Source organism: Homo sapiens, chromosome 5 (assembly GCF_000001405.40).
Source record: "Homo sapiens chromosome 5, GRCh38.p14 Primary Assembly".
Taxonomy (NCBI): Eukaryota; Metazoa; Chordata; class Mammalia; order Primates; family Hominidae; genus Homo; species Homo sapiens.
Window position 1 is genome coordinate 111,909,842 of NC_000005.10, and position 23,311 is coordinate 111,933,152.

General features: G+C 40.8%; 1 protein-coding gene and 1 long non-coding RNA gene across 3 annotated transcripts in view; one reads left to right on the forward strand and one right to left on the reverse strand.

Annotated features, from left to right (window-relative positions):
• The window catches only part of NREP (neuronal regeneration related protein), a 248,131-nt gene that overhangs the window by 181,040 nt on the left and 43,780 nt on the right, over nt 1-23,311 (reverse strand). The gene's annotated exons all lie outside the window — the stretch shown is intronic.
• Nucleotides 2,667-23,311, forward strand: part of NREP-AS1 (NREP antisense RNA 1) — a 104,799-nt gene continuing 84,154 nt past the window's right edge. The window contains exon 1 of the long non-coding RNA NR_046678.1: nt 2,667-2,879. This is a non-coding gene — a long non-coding RNA (NREP antisense RNA 1). The remainder of the gene's footprint in view (nt 2,880-23,311) is intronic.

Here is a 23,311-nt window from a genome sequence, read left to right on the forward strand (position 1 = left end):
ACATGTTATGCAAAATTGGATACATTGCTCTGCTGTCGCTGCATTATCATCCTTGCAATTCTAACTATTAAATGCTTCTTTCATGGATTAAGGAGGCAATTATGATTAAATGCCTGGGCCACAGCTATACTTGTGATTTCTTTCTTTTCATGTAAAAGACTGACTTGATTAGTAAGTTTTAGCAGCCACGATATAATTTACTGTTATCATATAATGCACATTTGCAAGAGAACATATATTACTGAATTTGTTGTAGACTAAAATGTTATATTTTCCATTTCCTTAAATTTAATTATCCTCAGCAAGCCACATTTACCCTGATTATATTCTGGTTAAAACATCTGCACTTCTGATTGCCCATATACCTCCCTGAATTTTCACTCTGGATACCAAAGAAGGATAATACTCAGTTTAGTCTTTGACGTGGAAGCATTTACAATTTTTCTAAATACAGATTGAACAAAGAACTTATTGCTTACCTCCCTATAAAGGCAAGTTAAATCATCTTTTTTTTCCATAATAAGAGTTCTCAAAGGAACAGCACAGAGGGTCAATGTGTGGCGACAAATTGGCTGCTATCTTTTTTGGGGGGTACTAGTGGCAGGGTGTTCTCACAACCAAAAAGGCCTTAAGAATGGAATAACTTAGAAAGACCCACATATTTATAATGGTTTTCTTCCTGAGAAGAAACTTATGGAAAATTATATATTGTATGTAAATATAAGATTCAAAAAAGTCTGAAAGGTGCTAAGGATAAAAAATGCTTGCCGAGTATGGGTTTAGGCATGAAGATTTGGGCACTATCAAAGCACCAGGCTGTGGAGCTGAGGAACTTGGCTTCTGAGACTGGAACAAACTCAAAGCTCCCCCAGGACAGAAACCCTCTGATGCCACCAAGTTTACCTCCAAAAGGAAGCCCTGTGATAAGGGACCTTATCTATCTTGGTCACAGCCAGAAGCGAGAGTTTGCTCAGCTTATTAAAGCAAAAGTTTCAAAATATTAAGTTATTTCTGACTAGTTCATGGATAGCTGCTATTGTGACTCCTCCAAATGATCTCCTACTGCTCCAGCCCCTTCTTGGTACTAGAAGCTTCAGAGAGGCATCACCTGGCAGAAGGCTCATACCTGGCAGAGAAGAGCACCTCCAGGATACTGTTTGAGCACCACCACTGTCAGTTCTGACTAATGCTCTAGGGACACTGGTTGTCAAGTATCCTGGCTATCACCCTGTACCCAGTGATCTCAATAACACTCCTGCACCCAGTGTTTTGGATATCACCTCTGCACCCAGCAATCTGGATATCACCCCTGCACCCAGTGTTCTGGATATCACCCCGGCACCCAGCAATCTGGATATCACCCCTGTACCCAATGTTCTTGATATCATATCTGCATCCAGAGTTCTGGATATTACCAGTGCATAGAACAGTGTCTGACACATAGTAGCTACTCAGTAAGTTTTTCTAAATAGACTGATGAATATATAATCTATTTACTTATTTTATATTTTTTACTTACACACTTTGCAGAAGCATTACCTATTTGTTAGTTCAACCCTACACAATTGTGTTCAATAACAAAGTATCTAGCCCATTAATTCTGCACTGCTATTATCTCTACTTCCAATGCCATTAATCAAGACAATATTGAGTAAGCACATACTAAGTGGCAGAAACCCTGGGCCTTGGAAAGACCCTCCAGGAGTGAGCTGGAGATATGTTATATGCTTGGACTTCTTCCCAAGAGCACAGATGTCATAAATAATTCACAACTAGATGAGAAAAGGAGATGTCAAAGAAATTAAATGACTCATAAGTGTGCTACTATTATTCAGGCTCAATCTGACCTCTTTTTGACTTTGGTGAGAGGGTCTATTTTTTTGACCATCTAAAAGACATAAAAATAGACACCAATTATATGACAAGTTGCAAAAGCTTGAGGAGACCTCTGCATAGACATAGAATCCAAACCGAAAATAATTTATACTCATTGCCTACCTACTATGTACCTAGCACTGTGCTGAGCCATATACACACAGCATTTCAGGTAGTGCCCACCACCATCCTATAAGCAAGTACTAGTCTTCACCCCATTTTACAGATGGGATAACTAAGTTGTGGGGAGGCTAAATAATTTGTCTAATGGTACACGATTGATAAGTGCCAAAGACAAAATATAAATTCCTGTCTGTCTACCTTATAAAGATGTAAATTTAGGAGAACCAGCTTCTCTTGAATTGCAAATTTTATGCTAGAATATCTAATATTTAAATTAGAGCATTCCTTGAACTTTTGTTGGCCAGTTTAATTTTTCTTTCATCTTGTGCACACATTCGTATGGTAACATTCTCCAGTATTTTCCTTGCACCCTTTTTTCATCATGCTCTTCTCCCCAATTCCCTCATCCAGAATGGTGTGGCTTCCGTAAGTGACTAAAACCCACCCTGGCAAAATGAGCTAGGGTCTGCCCTGCTATAATTCAGACAGATCTGAATTACTTCTTGACCCTCCTCACTTCATCCACCCTGCACCTTGCCTGCCCTGTCCCCTGGTGCCCTTGACTACTAGTCTGTTTTCTATATATTGTGACTGTATACACACCTTGCCACTGAAGCTTGAGTCATAATCTATTCTATCTGTATCTCTGAAAATGATCTTTACTTCAACTTTCCTAAAGGATATAGATTTCTCTCTTCTTTGGCTCCAATAATTTGTGCCCAAACTTCAGACCAGTAATTCCCCAGATGAGCCTGCTGCTACCCTACTTGCGTCTTACTTTTGCAAGCTGTTTCCATTCTTATTAGGCTAATAACTGAAGACAGGATCAAGATATCTTTCTAACCTATCCAAAATACCTGAATATTCTGTCACATTCAACAGTAAGTCAATACAGGATTATGTATACATCTTTGTATTCTTCATATTACCCAGTCCAGCCTTCTGCACTTAATAGGTACATGAATAAGTTAATCAATAAATGAAGGAATAGTTGGTTGTTTGATGAATAGCTGGAGAAGAACTGGCATCGTGCCTAGGTAAAGTAGAATATTATTTCATAGGTACCACTTGTATTTTTTTCTTCCTACACAAAGTGTTTAAGAAATATTTGTTCATTAAGATTATTAGCATTGACCAGTAATTGATTTTGAGTCACTTATTTGGCTTACAATATTGTTTACTTATTAGCTACAATGTGTAAGACACCTACTGTACAGCAGCCAATATCTTGAGTACTTTTACAATTTTTCATTTTACAGCACAACAAAAGTTGAAGGTAAGTGTTAGTATCCATTTTTTACAGTAAAGGCAGGATAGAAGGTTCAGAGAGGTTAAGTAATTTGTAGAAGATTTCTTAGGAAATGAATAGGAGTCATGGATCCCATGTCACTCTAATTTCAAATTCTAAATTCTTTTACTCTTTCTGCTATTTTGCACTACTTCATTTTAAAAGCGGTCTTATAAAATATCCTTCTAAAATTTTTCAGGTGTTTTTCAGGAGATAAGGAACTAGCACATTGCCTTTCATTAATCCATTACAGCAGACTAGGTTGCAAGATAATCTAGCTGTTTCCTAGCAGAAGAAAAAGAATGACCTTGAATAAATGGAACCCAGCATCACTATATTTTGATGTGAGAAAAGGAAGTTGAAAAGATTCAAAGGATAGACATCTTCCCAGATTAACAGGGATGTGAGTTCATAGTTCAGGGTCCTAAGTGACTGAAGAGTAAAATGAGGAGGCTAAATGCCCAGATGAGACAGTAACAAAAGATAAAAGGAGGAACTAATCAGACAATTGGGTAAGAGGATGATAGTGAGGAATGGGTGCTGAAAACATGCTTTCCTACTTCACAAATATTTTGAGGAATAATTAAGATTTGTAGGGAGAAAAATGAATTCCCAGCTCTACCTTCTCCCCGTCTCTGGATTTGATTATAGGGATGAGGCTATTACTACAAAAAACTAAGGGTATGAGAGGATAAGAGAAGTAGAAGAGAATTCCACCCTGAAATAACATCAGCTTTTAAAAGTTACCTAATGATGGATGAGGGTATTCAAGTCAAACTACAGATTTACTTTAAAAACTAAAAGCATGCCAAGCTTGATTTAGGGAATAAAGTGGAAGCAACCATCCTTACGCATCTAAATGCAAAATTATTTGGTGGCTGCTGGTACTTTTAGATATGAGTCAATTTAGTAGATAAAACTTTGTAATAGTAATGGCAGCCAGAGGCAAAAGTTGGCACCAAGCTATGGATAAATTCTTACTTTAGGTCCATAGATCACTGTAAAGATCCATCTAAGAATGTCCAGTAGGTCTTTAGCTTGTAAAAAGTGAAGTAGAGGTTCCTCTTCAAAGAGACTCCTCCCTGTCCAATTAGGAATAAACAGTAACTTCTCTTAGAAGCAAAATTTATTCAAAGACCTATGCTAACATTCTTAGATATCTGCTAGCCATAATAGAGAATCAATGTACTTTGTGTTCTTAGCTCCCACATTTTACCCTAAATATTTGCCCTCACATGCTTATACTGGTCCAAGCAAGCATTAGGTCATAGCCTGTTCCACTTCCTTATTTGAAGGTGTTCTTACCTTTCTCAGCATTCCACAAGTTACTTCCTCCTTCCTTTGTTCTCCTCTGCCTTTGCCTCTTTTGGAAAGTTCTAAGTTGCTAGCCAATCGGGACAAATACAGAATGTAAGGTCCCGTTCCAGCCAGTGGAAACCGGACACAGCAGTAGGATGGACGTGTCAGGTTATAAATGACCCTGTCTCCTTTTTTCGTTGTACTCTCCTGGCAAAACTGCTGGTGAGTGTACCCTTTCTGCAGAAAGTAAAGTAGCCTTACTGAGAGATCCTTTGTCTCAGTGTTAATGTTTGTGACGCTGAGCACCTGTTCCCAACAAGCTGAAGTTCCACAAAATGGAGTTTTTGGCCTCTCTCCACTTAAAGAATACACTTTTAAGGTTGAACGTTTGTCTTAGGTTGTTAGAAAAGCTTAAACATGCAATTTTATCTGATATGAACTTAGGAATGTGCCCAAGAGTGCTTTCAGGAAGAGATTTTTCCATTTTTATCAAAATCTTGCTCTTCTTTTTTATTGATTAGTCTCTTGAACTATGTCTATGCATTAATACAAGTCCTTTTCATTGTAGGTAAAGGTAGCCACTCAAACCAGCTAAAACCAGATGCCCTCTGAATCCCTTTGACTATTTCTGTGTGTCTTTGTGCTTGTTTCCTTGTGCTATTGCTTCCTGTGGCCTCATCAGGGACTTTTATTTCTAAGACTTCCCTCAGGCTACTGAGCTATGCACACAGGGAACTGGAAGTGCCTGAGAGTTTGCATTCCCCCAGGGTGGTTTTAAAACAATGATTGATGGTGAAAGACAATGAAAGTCCAGTGTTCTGGCCTCAGGTCAGGAGAGCTCTGATGTTGAAGAAATTGTCCAGGGACTTTGCCTGAAATCACACCTTACTCTTCTCTCTGTAATGCTTCCTCTATTTCTTTAATAAATCACTTGCACATGAATCCTCATTGCAGAGTTAACCTCTAGGGAACCTGACCTAAGATACCAGCTCACATTAAAAAAAAGGCTGGAGTCATTTTGGTGAGGCTACTACAAGAGGCAATGACAGAGAAACAGCACAGCATACTCTTGGAAACCGGAACTCAAAAGCACTTAGGTCCTAGTGCCTCTCTTCCAACCATTCACAATCCTTCCCCTCTTCTCTTCTGCTAGGAAATATGACACATTAACCAGCAGACACAGCTACCATTTTGGCATGGTTTTCAAACATTTTTGGCCCGTAGTAATACCACAACCCAACATTCCCTCACACATGCACCTACACATAAAACATATAAACATAAAACAAATATTTGTGAAATAATACTTGCTCTCCCTACCTGTGATAAACTCCATTTTCACTGTTTTCTGTTATAATTGAGTCTATTTCATTTTTTAAAAATGCTAGCAGCAATGAACTAAATTGATTTCACGGCCTGTTCATTGGTTATAACCAGTACCTTGGGACATTAACGGTTTGCATCTAAACGCTAATATTACTAGAAGAATTGTCCCAATAAGTCACTATCATCCACGATCACCTTGTTGTGCAGCAGCTCATTATTCATGCCACAAATGTGTTTAGGGCATCTGCTCTATGCAGAACATTTTTGCTGGAAGCCAAAAGGATACAAACATAAGAAGGCATCAAACCTCACCTTTAAAAGCTCACTATTAGGAGCCATAGTCGCAAGCCAAAGAAGCCCATTTCAGCTGATTCATATCATATGAGATATATATTATATATAGTATATAGTGATCAATATGACTGTATATAGTTTTATAATTAGAGAGATATAGTAGATGTTGATGATAGAGAGAGAGTCATTTTCCCAGGACTACCGAGAGAGAGAGAACAAGGTAGAGAGTTGCACAGCCATAATCACAGTCATCATTGAACCCCAGAAGTGGAACTTTGCGGCCTCTGCTGAGCCCTCCAAGCTACAGCATATATGGCCAGCACTCCCAGCCCACCCTGGACCCCAGTCACTATCACTGACATCACTGCCATTGCTGCCTTAGAAAAGTCTATGTGGCAGCCACAGTAGACCTTCCCCAGTCCTAGATGGAGTACCCTATCATCACATCTCTGTAGCACCAGCTCTTGAATATAAATCTGAAGTGATTGTATCCGACTGTTTAAACCTGAGCCATGGGCCTTTGCGTGGTGACTAAGAGTTTAGACTCTGGGGTGAGATTCCTTGGCTTCAAATCTTGGCTTTCCAATTACTTGCTGTGTGATCATAAAAATGTTACTTTCTCTCTCTGTACTTCAGTTTCCTCAAATGTATCAATTAGATAGTAGTAGTACCTACTTCACAGGGTTGTTTAAGGATTAAATGAGTTACTACTTGTAAAGTGCTTAGAATCAACTGTTAGGGGTTGTGACAAATATCTGAATTACTGGCAGCAAATCCATATGGGTATGCAGCAACCTTAATTCTTGCCTCCTCAGAAGAAAGAACTCGACTGAGGGGCATGAGGCAGATAAAGAGACAGAGGCAAATTTCAGAGCAGGGATGGAAGTTAATTAAAATGCTTTAGAGCAGGAAAGAAAGGAAAGTTTCTGCCCGCTTGGAAGAGACCCAAATGGGCACCGTGGAGATCCAATGTGGCATTTGACCTTTTGACTTGGGGTTTTATATGTTGGCATACTTTCGGGGTCTTGTGTCCCTTTTCCCATGATTCTTTCCTTAGGGTGGGCTTCCCGCATGCATGGTGTCCTTGCACTTTGGAGGTGAGCATGCACAGTGTGTTTAAGAAGTCATATGCTAGACCAATAACATGTTCTGAAATTGAGGCAGTAATTAATAGCCTACCAACCAAAAAAAGCCCAGGACCAGATGGATTCACAGCCGAATTCTACCAGAGGTACAAAGAATAGCTGGTACCATTCTTTCTGAAACTATTCCAAACAATAGAAAAAGAGGGACTCCTCCCTAACTCATTTTATGAGGCCAGCATCATCCTGATACCAAAACCTGGCAGACACACAACAAAAAAAGAAAATTTCAGGCCAATATCCCTGCTGAACACCAATGCAAAAATCCTCAATAAAATACTGACAAACCACATCCAGCAGCACATCAAAAAGCTTATCCACCACAATCAAGTCAGCTTCCTCCCTGGGATGCAAGTCTTATTCAACACACAGAAATCAATAAATGTAATCCATCACATAAACAGAACCAATGATAAAACCACCTGATTATCTCCATAGATGCAGAAAAGGCCTTCGATAAAATCCAGCACTCCTTCATGCTAAAAACTTTCAATAAACTAAGTACTGATGGAACATATCTCAAAATAATAAGAGCTATTTATGACAAACCCACAGCCAATATCGTACTGAATGGGCAAAAGCTGGAAGCATTCCCTTTGAAAACCGGCACAAGACAGGGATGCCCTCTCTCACCACTCCTATTCAACATTGTATTGGAAGTTCTGGCCAGGGCAATCAGGCAACAAAAAGAAATAAAAGGTATTCAGTTAGGAAAAGAGGAAGTCAAATTGTCTCTGTTTGCAGATGACATGACTGTATATTTAGAAAACCCCATCATCTCAGCCCCAAAACTCCTTAGCTCATAAACAACTTAGGCAAAGTCTCAAGATACAAAATCAATATGCAAAAATCACAGGCATTCCTAGACACCAATAATAGACCAATAGAGAGCCAAATCATGAGTGAACTGCCATTCACGATTGCTACAAAATAATAAAATACCTAGGAATACAACTTACAAGGCATGTGAAGGACCTCTTCAAGGAGAACTACAAACCACTGCTCAAGGAAATAAGAGAGGACACAAACAAACAGAAAACATTCCATGCTCATGAATAGGAAGAATCAATACTGTGAAAATGGCCATACTGCCCAAAATAATTTATAGATTCAATGCTATCCCCATCAAACTACCACTGACTTTCCTCACAGAATTAGAAAAAACTACTTTAAATTTTATATGAAACCAGAAAAGCACCCGTATAGCCAAGGCAATCCTAGGCAAAAAGAACAATGCTGAAGGCATCATGCTACCTGACTTCAAACTAACTATACTACATGGCTACAGTAACCAAAACAGCATGGTACTGGTAGCAAGACAGATACATAGACCAATGGAACACAACAGAGGCCTCAGAAATAACACCACACATCTACAACCATCTGATTTTTGACAAACCTGACAAAAACAGGCAATGGGGAAAGGATTCCCTATTTAATAAATGGTGTTGGGAAAACTGGCTAGCCATATGCAGAAAGATGAAACTAGACCCCTTCCTTATACCTTATACAAACATTAACTCAAGATGGATTAAAGACTTAAATGTAAAACCTAAAACCATAAAAGCCCTAGAAGAAAACCTACGCAATTCCATTCAGGACATAGGCATGGGCAAAGACTTCGTGACTAAAACACCAAAAGCAATGGCAACAAAAGCCAAAATTGACAAATGCAATCTAATTGAACTAAAGAGCTTCTGCACAGAAAACAAAACAAAACAAAACAAAACAAAACTATCATCAGAGTGAACAGGCAACCTAAAGAATGGAAGAAAAGTTTTATAGGCCCCTCATCTGACAAAGAACTAATATCCAGAATCTACAGGGACTTAAAACAAATTGACAAGAAAAAAACAGACAACCTCATCAAAAAGTGGGTGAAGGATACGAACGGACACTTCTCAAAAGAAGACATTTATGCTGCCAAAAAACATATGAGAAAAAGATCACTGGTGATTAGAGAAATGCAAATCAAAACCACAGTGAGATACCATCTCATGCCAGTTAGAATGGCAATCATTAGCAAGTCAGGAAACAACAGATGCTGGAGAGGATGTGCATAAATAACTCTTTTACACTATTGCTGGGAGTGTAAATTAGTTCAACCATTGTGGAAGACAGCATGGCGATTCCTCAAGGATCTAGAACCAGAAATACCATTTGACCCAGTAATCCTATTACTGGGTATATACCCAAATGATTATAAATCATTCTAGTATAAAAATACCTGCACATGTATGTTTATTGCAGCACTATTAACAACAGCAAAGACTTGGAATCAACCCAAATGCCCATCAATGATAGACTGGATAAAGAAAATGTGGCACATATACACCATGGAATACTATGCAGCCATAAAAAAGGATGAGTTCATATCTTTACAGGGACATGGATGAAGCTGGAAACCATAATTCTCAGCAAACTAACCCAAGAACAGAAAACCAAACACCACATGTTCTCACTTATAAGGGGGAGCTGAACAATGAGAACACATGGACACGGGGAAGGGAACATCACACACCGGGGCCTGTCAGGGGTTGAGGGACTAGGAGAGGGATAACATTAGGAGAAATAACTAATGTAGATGACAGGTTGATGGGTGCAGCAAACCACCATGGCATGTGTATACCCATGTAACAAACCTGCACATTCTGCACATGTATCCCAGAACTTGAAGAGAGAGAAAGAAAGAAAGAAAGAAAGAAAGAAAGAAAGAAAGAAAGAAAGAAAGATCTGAACTGTCCATTATGTAGTAAAAGAACTGAATTAATTAATAAAAAGAATACCCCCCCCCCCCACACACACAAAGAAGTCATATGCATGCTCATATGAAGTTTTCTTCCCTTTTGCAGTGGAATACCCTTGGAAGGTCATACTCCATCATTTTTTCTCTTAATGTGCATGCCTGAGCCTACTCACCCAATTCCTGAGATTTTACTGGAAGCTGATTACCAATTTCAAGTGTTTTATCTGTTTGGAAAATTGCCTTTCCCTGGTGCCTGCAATCAATTATCACTTTAGTGTGACAACTTTGGACCATCAGGAAATTGTGTCTCCCTGGTGCTGGCTGTCAATTATCATTTTTATTTTTTTATTCCTTTATTTATTATGTTTTAATTTTACTTTAAAGTTTTAGGATACATGTGTAGAACCTGCAAATTTGTTACATATGTATACGTGTGTCATGGTGGTTTGCTGCACCTATCAGTCCATCATCTAGGTTTTAAGCCCTGCATGCATTAGCTATTTGTCTTAATGAAACCTGCCTCATTGTCTGAGGTGTCAGCCGAAGTTCTTAGTCTTGCAGCCAAGGAAATCAAGGACACAGACACTCCAAAGATGAGGTTAGAGCAGAAGTTTAATAAGCAAAAGGAAGAAAAATCTCTGAAGCAGTGAGGGGTCCCAGAAAGATGGGTTGCCATTTTACAGTGAAATGTAAGGGTTTTTATAGACAAGCTGGTGTGGAGGGGTGCTTCATTTACATAAGGCATGAATTTCTGAATCCCCACCCCACCCTTTCTAGTGCTTATATGGGCTTCTTAGCCTGAGTTACTCCATGTTCCTTATCTCTTCCTACTGCACATTTATAAAAAAGGCGGGGCAGAACACTACAAAGTGGATGTGCCTGGTTCAAGGTAGCTCTTCTAATTGGTACTGCTGAAAGCAGTTCCCACTGTGTGAGCCATCTTGTCTGAACATGTCCAAGAAAGGAGAGGGCTGTGCTTACTGGGGCCCACTGTATGTTTGTACATCACACAGGAGGCCCCTTTCTGTGTTAGATGTGTTAGAGCTTTCCTTCCTTATCTGTGTTTGCAGCCTGATCTCTTAGGTTGCTCTTTGCTGAAAGAGAAATGACCTCTTGGGCTGCTTTTTGTCAGAAGACAGACGCTTTTTGTTAGAAGGGAATTCTACCAAGGACCCTTGCCTTAACTATCTGCCTAGTTGATCTACCTCTCCTCTCTCCTCTCTCTCTCTCTTCTCACATTCCTCCCTCAGGAGTGGAGACCCTAACAGTTGTTAGAGGGTTTAAGCAACAACTTGTCTAGCTACTTCCTGCTGGAGATGGTCGTTGAGTGGGGAAACAGCAGCTAGCGTTCCTCCTGAAGTCGATCTAGAGGTCCTCAGGAGAATAGTGGTCCTGCCAAAGACAGGAGCCATGATCTCCAATTCAGCCATTTAGACCAAGAGCCCCCCATGACTCTGACAGTTGTCATATCTCAGAGGCCTGATCAGCTAATTTTTGGGTGGCATCCCTTACTCTCCCTGATTAGTTGACATAGAAACAGCATTCTTCCTCTCAAACAAGGTGTAGGTCACACTTTTCAGCAGTTAAGAGGTCTAGTCCCCTCATATTTTGTAGAGCAACTGCTGCCAAGGAGTCTATTTGATTTTGTATAGTATCAATGGTTCGGGCAATGTCCTTTAAACTTTTTGTAAAGTCTTTGGACAAGCCTTCATAGTAGGACAGAGAGGTTGCTAGTCCTTCAGCCCTGGTCCCTACACTTGCTATGATTCCCAGCTGATATGGTTTGGCTGTGTCCCCATTCAAATCTCAACTTGAATTGTATCCCCCAGAATTCCCACATCTTGTGGGAGGGACCCGGAGGGAGGTAGGTAATTGAATAATGGGGGTCAGTCTTTCCTGTGCTATTCTCATGACAGTGAATAAGTCTCACTAGATCTGATGGGTTTATCAGGGGTTTCCACTTTTGCTTCTTCCTCATTTTTCTCTTGCTGCCATGAGGTAAGAAGTACATTTCACCCCCTGCCATGATTCTGAGGCCTCACCAGCCATGTGGAACTGTAAGTCCAATTAAACCGCTTTTTCTTCCCAGTCTCAGGTATGTCTTTACCAGCAGTGTGAAACAGACTAATACAATTGGTAAGAAAAGATCATACATACAACATTTCAAAAGGGCTTAAACTTAATTTTGAAGGGGTATTTCTTATCCATAGTAGGACCATGGGAAGGAGAGTAGTCCAGGGGAGGTGAGTCTCTTGAGACAACTTTCTGAGGTGTCTTTTGATAATGTCATTTTTTTCTACCTTTCTTGAGGACTGGGGTCTCCAGGCACAATGGAAATGATATTGTATGCCTAGTGCCTTTGAGATCCCCTGAGTGACAGCTGCTTTAAATGAAGAGCCATTGTCACTTTGGAGGTATTTAGGGAGTCCAAAGCGGGGAATTATTTTATTGATTAATACTGTTACTACCTCAGAGGTCCTTTATGTTTGACATCGAAATGCTTCCACCCAGTTAGTGAACGTATCCACTGACACCAGGAGGTACTGAGTGCCCCTTGATTTTGGCATATGGGTGAAGTCTATTTGCCAGTCCTCCCCTGGATAACTTCCCATTCTCTGAGCTCGATGGAGAAGAAGCCATCTGTTGAGGGAGGTGTTTTTAAGGCAGATTTCACAAGCATTAACAACCTGCTTGACTGTTTTTAGTAGGTTCTCCTCTGAGAATAATCTTTGGACACATTGATAAGTTTTATTCTTCCCTAGATGAAAAGTTTGGTGAAGAGTCTTAAGGACCTTACACTGGTTGGAGGCTGGCAAATGGAGCTTGCCATCCTCTGACTGCAACCATCCTGATGGCTGGAAAGTGAATCTGCGAGAAATGGCCCATTCTGTTTCTGCAGGAGAATACTGAAGTTTATTTCCCTGATGGAGCCTTCCCAGATTAGAGGGGCTTCAAGGGTGTTGGCACTCTGAGGCTTTCGTGCTGCTGACTTGGCTGCCTGGTTGGCTAACTTATTTCCCTCAGCTATTTCATCCGATCCTTTCTGATGTCCTTTACAATGCATTACTGCTACTTCTTCTGGAAGGAAAAGTGAAGATAAAAGCCTATTAATTTCCTGATGGTATTTCATGGGAGACCCATTAGGAGTGAGAAACTGTCTCTCCTTCCAATTGGTGGCATGAGCATGGAGGATAAGAAAGACATATTTGGAGTTGGTATAAATGTTAGCTGTTTTTCCTCTGCTTAATTCAAGTGCCCTTGTGAGAGCTATCAGCTCAGCTAATTGGGCGCTTGTGCCTAGTGAAAGAGACATACTTTTAAAGATTCAGGGTGACTACTGCATACCCTGCCTTACAGACTCCCTGCTCCACAAAGAGACTCCCATCTATAAAGAGGGTCCAGTCTGGATTTTCTAGGGGAATTTCCCTGAGATCCTCCATGGCTGCATAGGTTTCTATTACAACTTTCTCACAGTCATGTTCAGGTTCCCCAGTTTCCTCTGGGAGGAAGGTGGCTGGATTGAAGTGAGAGCAAGTTTTTAGTTGGGCTGCAGATCCCTCTACTAGTAGAGTCTGGTATTTAAGGAGGTGGCTATCTGTTAGCCAAAGGCCTCCTCTAGAAGACAGCAATTCTGCCACATTATGTGGGGTATAAACAGTTAAGCTATTCTCCAGGGTTTATTTGGTGGCTTCTGGCACCAGTAGGGCCACTGCTGCAACTGCCCAGAGGCAGGCTGGCTATCCTTTAGCCACCAGGTTCAGTTCCTTACTTAGGTAACCCACTGGCTGTTGAGCTGGCTCCTAGGTCTGAGTTAAAACTCCCAGGGTCATTCCCTTTCTTTCTGACATGTAAAGACTGAATGCCTTCCCTATTGGAAGACTAAGGGTTGGTGCCCCAAGCAAAGCTTGTTTTAACTGGTTAAAGACCCTTTTTGATTCTGGATCCCAAATCAAGGTGGTTAAAGACCCTTTTTGATTCTGGATCCCAAATCAAGGAATGGGTCTTGGCTGCCTGAGTTTCCTTTATTAATTGGTATAAGGGACAGGCCATTTCCCCATTCCCAGGTATCCATAGCCTGCAAAATCCTATAATGCCCAAAAATCCTCTTAGCTGCTTTAGGGTTTTAGGGAGGGTGAAGGAACAAATGGGCTTAATTCTTTCTTCTGCCAATGCTCTGGACCCTTCAGATAACACTAAACCCGGGTACTTCACTGAGGTTTGGCAAAGCTGGGCCTTGGATTTTGAAACTTTATATCCCCTATTGGCTAAGAAATTGAGAAGGGCCTTGGTGCCTTCCAGAGAAGCTTTCTCAGTTGGAGCACAGAGAAGAATAGCATCTACATACTGTAGGACTTTACCCTGAGAATGAGAGAACTCAGAAAGGTCTTTAGACGGTGTTTGTCCATACAAGTGAGGGGTATCCCGAAACCTTTGTGGCAACATCATCCAGGTTAACTGGGCAGTCTGGCCAGAGAGATCTTGGAAGGCAAATAGGTATTGTGAGTCAGGGTGTAGTGGTATGAGAAAAAAAAAAAAGGCATCCTTTAGGTCTAGCACTGTGGGCCATTTCATTTCCTCAGGTATTTGGATTAGCAAAGTATAGGGATTAGGGACTACTGAATGAATTGGGACTATGGCCTCAATGAGGCAGAGGTCCTGAACTAGTCCCCATTCCCCATTGGGTTTCTGCATCCCTAATATTGGGGTGTTGCAGGGGCTACTGCAGTGTCTGAGGAGGCCTTTCTTCTTCAGATTATTAATAATGACCTCTGGCCCTTTTCTAGCCTCTGGCTTTAGGGGATATTTTCTTTGGTTAGGAAAAGAAGTGGGATCCTTAAGATGTATTTGGACCAGTATAGCAGTTATAGCCTGGCCAATTTTCCCCTGGCTTGCTCACACCTCTGGGTTAATATTGGTTTACACCAGTGGAAGTCAAAGAGTCTGTCCTGGGGCCATAAGGATGCTGGCTCCCATGTGAGCTAAAATGTCTCCACGTAATAAGGGAGTGGGACTTTCAGGCATGATTAAAAAGCCATGTGTAAATAGTAGGTCCCCCCAGCTACAACTAAGGGGTTGAGAAAAATATAGGGTTAGAACCTTTCCTGAGATGCCCTTCACAATCGTGCTACGGGAAGAGGGGAAGCCTGGATTGGAAAAGAACAGAGAGACCAGCTCCAGTGTCCAGAAGGAGGTCTACCCTCCTTCCTTCAATTTCCAGAATCACCCAGGGCTCCTGGGCGTAACGGCAGTTTGGGCCACTAGAGTTGAGGAATTGAGCCCTGGGACCCATCAGTTCTGCTGGAGCATTTGGGAGACCAGTTCTGGACGGAGATGTCTCTCCGTCTCTGCAGGCAGTCCGACCTCTAGTTGTCCTTGCCACAGGCTGGACAGGGTCGAGGTGGCTTCTTACTGCCAGGACAGTCCTTCTTAAAGTGCCCTGGTTTGCCACATGGATAGCAATTAGTGGATCCTGTACTTTACAGACCTCTAAAGCAGCCATCAGAGATTCCATCCTTCTCCTGTGCTTCCTCTCTTTTTCCTGGGCCTCCTCCCGATCCCTGCTGTAAAAGACCGAGGTGGCTACCCTGAGGAGGTTCTCCAGAATACTGTCTGGTCCTATTGCCTGTTTCTGTAATTTTCTTCTAATATCAGGGGCTGCCTGAGTAATAAACTTGTACTTTAGGACTAGCTGTCCTTCAACTGAGTCAGGAGACAGGGAAGTATGTTTTATTAAGGCCTCTTAGCCTTTCCATGAAAGCCAAGGGATTCTCATCTGGTCTTTGATCTGTTGTGGACAGCTTAGAGTAATTAAGAAGTTTGGCCCCAGTTTTTCATAGGCCCTCCAGTATGCACATTAAAAAGTGTTTACTCTTCCATTCATCTGTGGGGTCACTACGGTCCTAGCCAGGGTTTTCAGGGGGTATTGCTTCTCTCCCTGTTGGGAATGGTTGTTCTATAATTTCCTCCACTACCTTATCTCCATTCTTCTTTTTTGGTCTGCTATAAGAAACATGTTATTTGTCCCTGAATTTTTCTGCTGCCTGCAGAGCTGCCTGCCTCTCAGCAGCTGTTAGGGTTTGGTTTAACATAACATCTCTCCATGTGAGATCATACACCTGGGCTAGATTTTGGAAAGCCTCTATATAACTGCTGGGGTCATTAGAGAACCTACCCAGGTCTCCTTTTATTTGTCTAAGGTCTTTCAATGAGAAGGGAACCTGAACCCTACTGGCACCATGTCCACTGGGCATTTCATGCAGGGGTAAAAGCGAAACTGGGGAAGTGGGGAGTTTTGGAAGTGGTGAAACTAGAGGAGCCAACAGTGCAGTTGGAGGAGGGAGCCCTGGATAATGGGGACAAGAGGAGCTGAGACACTTAATAGTTGTCTCAGGATTCCCCAGAAATTTGTTTTCTTAGCTTTGGGGTATCATTCCCCATGCATGTTCCAGATATGGCTGCTAAAAGAGCTGGGTCGATTGTGCATCGCTTGCAGAGGTCTGTGTTGTCCCACAGGGCAAAGAAAGCCTGTACATAGGGACTTCAGACCATTTGCCCTTCCATCTACAGAAAAGATCTAATTGTTGGATAATATTAAAATCAAGACTTCCCTTAGAAGGTCAGGTTTGTCTGTCCCCAAGCTGGTAAGGCCGCCCCCTTGTGCAAAATAATGTAAGCCACTTTTTCTTCAGAGTCTTGGGGTCAAAGGACTTCCAGTGCTTCAGAATGCACTCGAGAGGAGTGCAGGCTGAAGATGGTTTGTTACCCATCTAGAAAGAGAGGGGGAAGAAAAGACGTCCCTTAGTCTTCTCCCTCCTTTTGGAGTAACCCAGGTGTAGAGGAAGACAGTGGGGGCTTCCCCACTACTATTCTCCTTCCTTTGTTCCCTGAGCCCTGGCATCCATTAAAGGTGCTGCTCCTGGGTGCAAGTGTGACTATTTCTGCCTGACCCACTCCTCTAGGTCCTCCATCCATGGACCCGGAGGAGTGGGTCAGGCAGGAATAGTCACGTTCACCTGTGTGAGACCCTAGTCCTCCGCTAATTCCCCTTTGATTCCTTAGATTTGTATGGCCAGCGTGTCTCCCCTATAGATGGATCTCGGGAGAGACTATGTAATAGTTGCATCTGGGCCAGGCCCCTCAGTGAAGGCAGTATTCTGAATTGGGCCCTATATTCTGCTATTATGGTCTGATAACTGCCAAACCATCACCTGATGGTCACCTGACATTCCTGGTGTGTGGTGGGGGAGCCCTCTCCTGCGCCACTGAGGCCTGACTAGCTACCTACTCTAACACAATAGCTATTACTATGAAGAATTGAAACAGGAAATATCTTGAGCTTTCAAATTTTTTCATGAGGGATGAGCTCAGCATCCAATCAAGACTCAAAATGGGAAAATTTCCAAACCACATGATAAGCAATCCAAAAAAGAATGACCAGTGTCCATTATCTAAGCTAGCAGAAAGGGTGAAAGGATGGGTGGCATGATAAATTCTTGCCCTCTGAGATAAGCGCTCTGTGGAAATGGGACATGGTGTGAAAGGAAAGGAAAATCTTGGGAGCCCAAACCCACTATTCCTAAGGGAAAGTTAAGCTTGAGAACTAAGTGATGCAAAAACTACCTTCCTTTTGTTCCCAAACAGATAGCTGTAATTTCACATTGTGATTGTATCCTATGTAAAAATATAGATTTACTGAGCACAAGATGAATGCACAGTTCACTTTTCCCCTCCCTCCATCTTTCACATGTAAAATGTAGGTTCATAAGCTCTAATCAAGGCCTCACAAGAGTAACTACCCTGCCCACTTTTTTCCCTTTCCTCCTTTCCTTCCTATTTGCTTCTTTCCTTTTAAATATTTAAGCCCTCAAAAACCTCTTTGGGAAAGGCAGAGGCCACAGATCCTACTGTAACTTGTGTTTCTTTTTCCCAGGTGCATCCTCAACCTTGGCAATACAAACTTCTAAATCAATTGAGATCCACCTCACTCTCTTTTTGGTTTACAATAGGATGGACTGTGAAAAAGTCTGGGGCTTCATAGGCCCCGGACTGGAAAAGATTGGCAGCCAGAAATCTGTGTGAGGAAAAATCCTGGTACAAGGCAGAGTGAAGAGAAGGGAGGAGATGATTGCTAAACACCTCTCCACTTGACAGTTGCACCATGGCCCACACCTGCTCCCCGCCACCCTGAGATCATATGGCATTCTTCAGCAGTAGACTTCAAGTATTTTTGCTCATATATCCCCTAAAAGAATTTTGCAAACTATTTACATCGCATAGACTTTTAAGTTAACATCTAGAATTTTTATCATAAATTTAAATAGTTGAAAATGTGGTGATTTCTGGCACATAATAGAGATGCTTTAAATATATTTTCCTCAAAATCTTGAAGCTTCTGATTTAGTTTTTTTAATTTTTAGAAATTGTCTTTCCTTATAAGGAAAATGACAAATAAGGTTCTCAGTTTCAAATTGAGGAAAGCAGACTTAATTTATGTCAGAAAAAAATCTGACTGTATTTGAATTGAAATATATGTGTGAATCTACGTCCCTGTGCTAACCATCTGACTTCTGAATTCCAGTTTTAGAAGAGATAGAGAAGGCATGGAACTCAGCCATGAGTTTGAGGCCTGATGAAATAATGTGTTGCCCCCTCTAATATTTTTCTACTGGAGCCTCTCTTTGTTTTCCTCTCATACAATACTCCCTCATGAGCTGTGAAGTGTCAAGTTTTCCCCTGAGTAGCTTAGTGGTTAAGTCCTGAGCAATGCACCATAGTCAAATTTAGGATAAGTGAAGTGGGAGGAAGTCAGCTGCAAAAGGGGAAATGGGAAGAGAGAGCCCATAGACCACAGACACATTTGTATGTTGCCAATTTAGGAAAGAATACATTTAGAAGTATGGAAGTTTATTCCTTAAAAAGATCTCAGCTAACATGCCCACTGGAAAATCTTCATATACCACCCCTTAGTGTGTATGTCCCAGTTTAAAACAAACAAAAAAACCCTAGAGTAATATTTAAATCAGTAATCTTTAAATTATTGTATGTAGTTTTTCCATCAGGATGCATATAATAAATGTACTTGTTTTATATCTAGTGTTTTAGCAAATCAGTACTAATATGGTGGAATGGGTAACACTCTTCTCCTCCTTATCCCCTCTACAACTAAAGAAAAGGATCACTTAGTAAATGGTACTAATAGTTTAGATTACACATTGAATTCTACTGTCTTTTGCTAGAAGCTTAACTTTTTACGGGGCCCTAGAATGCCTTTAGTTCTAAATTAATCTTGGCAAAATATTTCATTTAATTGTGATATGATATGAATATTTTATAAAGTGCTATCCTACTTAAAGCAAATATATAATTCAAGAAAAAGCAAAATTTAGTATACTAAGGAATTTTGCCAAAGTGTTTTAAAGAGGAGAGCCAATGAGTTGGGGAGCTACTGAGTCCTTGGTTCTTTACCTACCATGGTAGGAAGCCTAAGGGCCTTTGGAGCCAATACCAGCAAACCACTTCTGCAGAGGTCTGGCCTCAGGGCAAGGATCTTTCTGTACCACATGTTCTAAAGCTTGTGCTGGCCACATATATTTAGACAGTTTTTAACCTAGGTTCCACTATTATTGTCAAGTTGGTTTTAAATAGAAATCTTCCTTTCTTTCTCAAATATGTACATGATTGATGCAGAATTCTATAAGAAATGAGAAATCCACACAGTAACCTTTACACATTTTCATGGCTGGCAAAATCCTTAGGGAACTTCTGTGTTATTCAATTTGTCAAGGCAATTCCTGTGTGGCAAACCATGTTTTCCATTCTCAATCCTTTACTTGCTCTCTGAATGGTGAGAAACTGACACTCACAGATAGACTAAAAGTTAAATAAGTGATTAAGTGATTGAATGGATGAATGAAAACCTATTAAATGCAAAGCATCTAGCCAAATTCCTCTGGGTTAAGCAAGTTTAGTCCTCCTCTCAAGGAGCAGATTATTCCTTCATTTCCTTTCCTTTATATTCCCCTGAATTTGTCTGCAGGCAATTGTCCAGTAATTCTAAAAACTCCTTGAAATGACTAAAACAGTAAAGCTGAGACATGACAGACTGCTGGAGAGCTAGACTTGGGGTGAGCAATGCTGAAATCACCATGAACTGCTCTCAGGGTCTCAGGAAAAGGGCGAGGCAAGAGCAACTAGGCCTATGGCCCTCAATTGCCTGAATTATGCAATACTCTGATTTAGCAAGAGCAGAGGGGATGGTAGAAGGGGAGAGGTGAAACAGAGAGGAGATGAGATATAAGGCAACCAAGTTAACTGATTACACAGCTCAGGATTTCTCTTTAAATGTTAGGCTCCCATAAGGACAAATTCCACTCCATCTGTTACTAACACCAAATGAGAATAAATGTAGTCCCCCACCCTCAAAGATATAATGGTTTCTTTGAAAGTGGCGAATTTAGTTTAATCTCTAAACTTTCCCTTCTATCAACACTGGATATTGTTAAAAATGTATTTTATGATTATGTTTTCAGAAATTTTTTACACCTTTTAACCAGAATGAGTTTTATGTCAAGAGCTGCTAAAGGGCTCCCTAGACTTGATCTTCTGTCTAAAGTGTAAGCTTTTATACTCTACAAAGGAAATGATGTCGTCAGACCTATGCACATGACTTTGTGACTAGAAGGAGGTCAAGGATTCACAGTTAGTTAGCTGTTAATTGCAAGCCCAGTAGCTATTTCCCTCTCTCCTTGTAAAGGGAACTCTAATTTGTTTTAGTGTCCTTCAGCACAGCTGACTTGACCTAGCTCAGGCATACATCTCTGGTCTAAGTCACTCACAGCAGTCTCTCTCCTCTTGCCTGCTATGGGTTTTGTCATGAGCATCTGACACAGATGTGGTCAAGGAGTTAAGACAGAAGCCAGGTTAAGTCTTCCAGGAAAGGTTTCCTTACTCAAAAATAATGTCACAATGAAGACACAATCCACTTGTCCTGCTGGATGTTGTGATGGTACATGATAGCTCTTACTTATGCCATCATTGTGCATCTATGTGGGGAACTAGCCTGAGTATACAGCTAAGACACTGAGCATGGCAGGGTAGAAGACAGAAAGAATTTGGATCTTTGACAAGGCATTGAGATGCTGAATTAAATAATCCAGGCACTGTCTTATCTTGCCCCTTCTTCTTGTGCCCTTAGTATTTAAACCTTCTGTGGTGGTTTTAAAATATGTCCACAATTCTTTGATTCTCTTTCCTGTAAGAGATGAAACCTAATTCCCCTACCTTGAGTATGATTTAGTGGATTTAGCTAGATTGAGTGACTCACTTCTCACAAGCAGAATAAAGTAGAAGTGATGGTATGCAACTGCAGAGGCTAAGCCATAAAGGCAGTGTGGCTTCCTCTTTAGTCACTTTCTCCTGGATTACCCAGACTGGTTGAAGCTAGCTGTCATGTCATGAGGACACCCAAACAACCTAAGGCGAGGCCCACATGGTGTGGAGTTTAGTTGGTCACCTGCCAATCGATAGTAGGTCAGTCATACTGGAAGCCGACCTTCCAGCCTAAGTCAAGACTTCAGATGATTGCAGTCTCTGCCTACATTCTGACTACAACATCATAAGAGACTTAGAACAACCCAGCTAAGCCACTCCAGAATTTCTGACTTGTAGGAACTGTGAGATAATATATATTTGTTGTTTTAACTCATTAAGTTTTGGGGACATTTGTTATGCAGCAGTAGATAACTAAAACAATTTCTAAGATTGGATTCTCTGACCTTCTCAAACAAAGGCATAGTAATTGATAAAATGTTCTAAAAGATTGCATCCTAAAACCAGAGAATTACAGGTTCCTCCATGGGTCTTCTGGTTCATTCTCTCTTTTTTTGAAAGATTGCGTAATGCTCTTTGAGATAAATAGATATCTTTCTCATTAGGCCTTCCGAAAAAGGAGACAACAGTTGTTCCAGGGCATTACTTTCACAACCATCTGGTGAGAGGCTGAAATCACTCTGGTTATGATTAAACCAATTGCATCTCATTGTATCCTTAGAATAGTGTTTCCCAAACTTTCTTACAGAAAAAGTATCCTGAATGATACTAACTGATATTCTACAAAAAGAGTGGGGGAGACTTTGAGTTTTAAAATAAAAATAAAGCATATTAAAGACCGTGGAGACTTTTTGCAAAAAAAAAAAAAAAAGAAAAGAAAAAGAGAAAATCTGTTTAATTTTTGTGTAACTTAGAATTTCTCAAAGGCAGGGTAACTATAGATGGTCCCCTCCATGCTCCTTTCCTCCAATAAAAATACCTATGAGCATTTCTTGGGGCATAAATGTTGTACCAAACACATGGAAATATGGGTGTGGATGAGAAAGAGCTCATCACAATATACACTGAATGGAATGTATTAACATGAATGATCAAAATAATCCAAAACACTATACTCAAAATAACATAGCCATCCCACAGTTATACAGTCACATTCATTATCTGAGTAATCCACAGCATCTAAGTTTAGACTTAGATCTTGAGTCAGAAATAGTACAAGAATTATCAATGTGCAGTTAGTAGCAAGTAGGACTCATATACATTTATTCAAAAAGATCAGGACTTGTCTTCAAAACTCCAGACATATAGATTAGTTTCTTGTTTCCTATTAAACAACAACATTTTGCCCCCTCCTTTTAAAATGTTTATTTTATTACTGCAGGAAAATGTTTCATCTGAAACATTTGGTATAAATAAAAAACTTACAGAGATTTCTTAAATATTGATATCTGGTATATAAGACCCTGAATTAGCATGCCTCTGCCAACTAAAAGGTCACGTAATTCACCTATGATTCATACTGCCGCGGAAGCCAAAGCCCTCTTGACTGGTAGTGCCTTGGCAACAGAATCCCTGGATTCTATCATGTTAAGCCCGAAAGTCAAGTGAGTGAAGCCCCACACTCCTACAGTGAGTAGGAAGACCACTCACAGCAGTTGATTAGGACTTACCCTAACCAGACAAGGTCCCATAAAGGAAACGGTTCTGTCCTGGAGCTGGGCCAAGTTTGACATGCCCAGAATAAAAAGATCCTTCAGAGAGGGAGCTTTGAGGAGGTAATAATTGCCTCTAACTCCTCCTTAGCATTATAACTTTGAAAGAATTTTTTTGACTCTTAAAATCAAACCACGTTAAACCACCCTTTAAGACTTCAGCAGAAATGTGATCTAT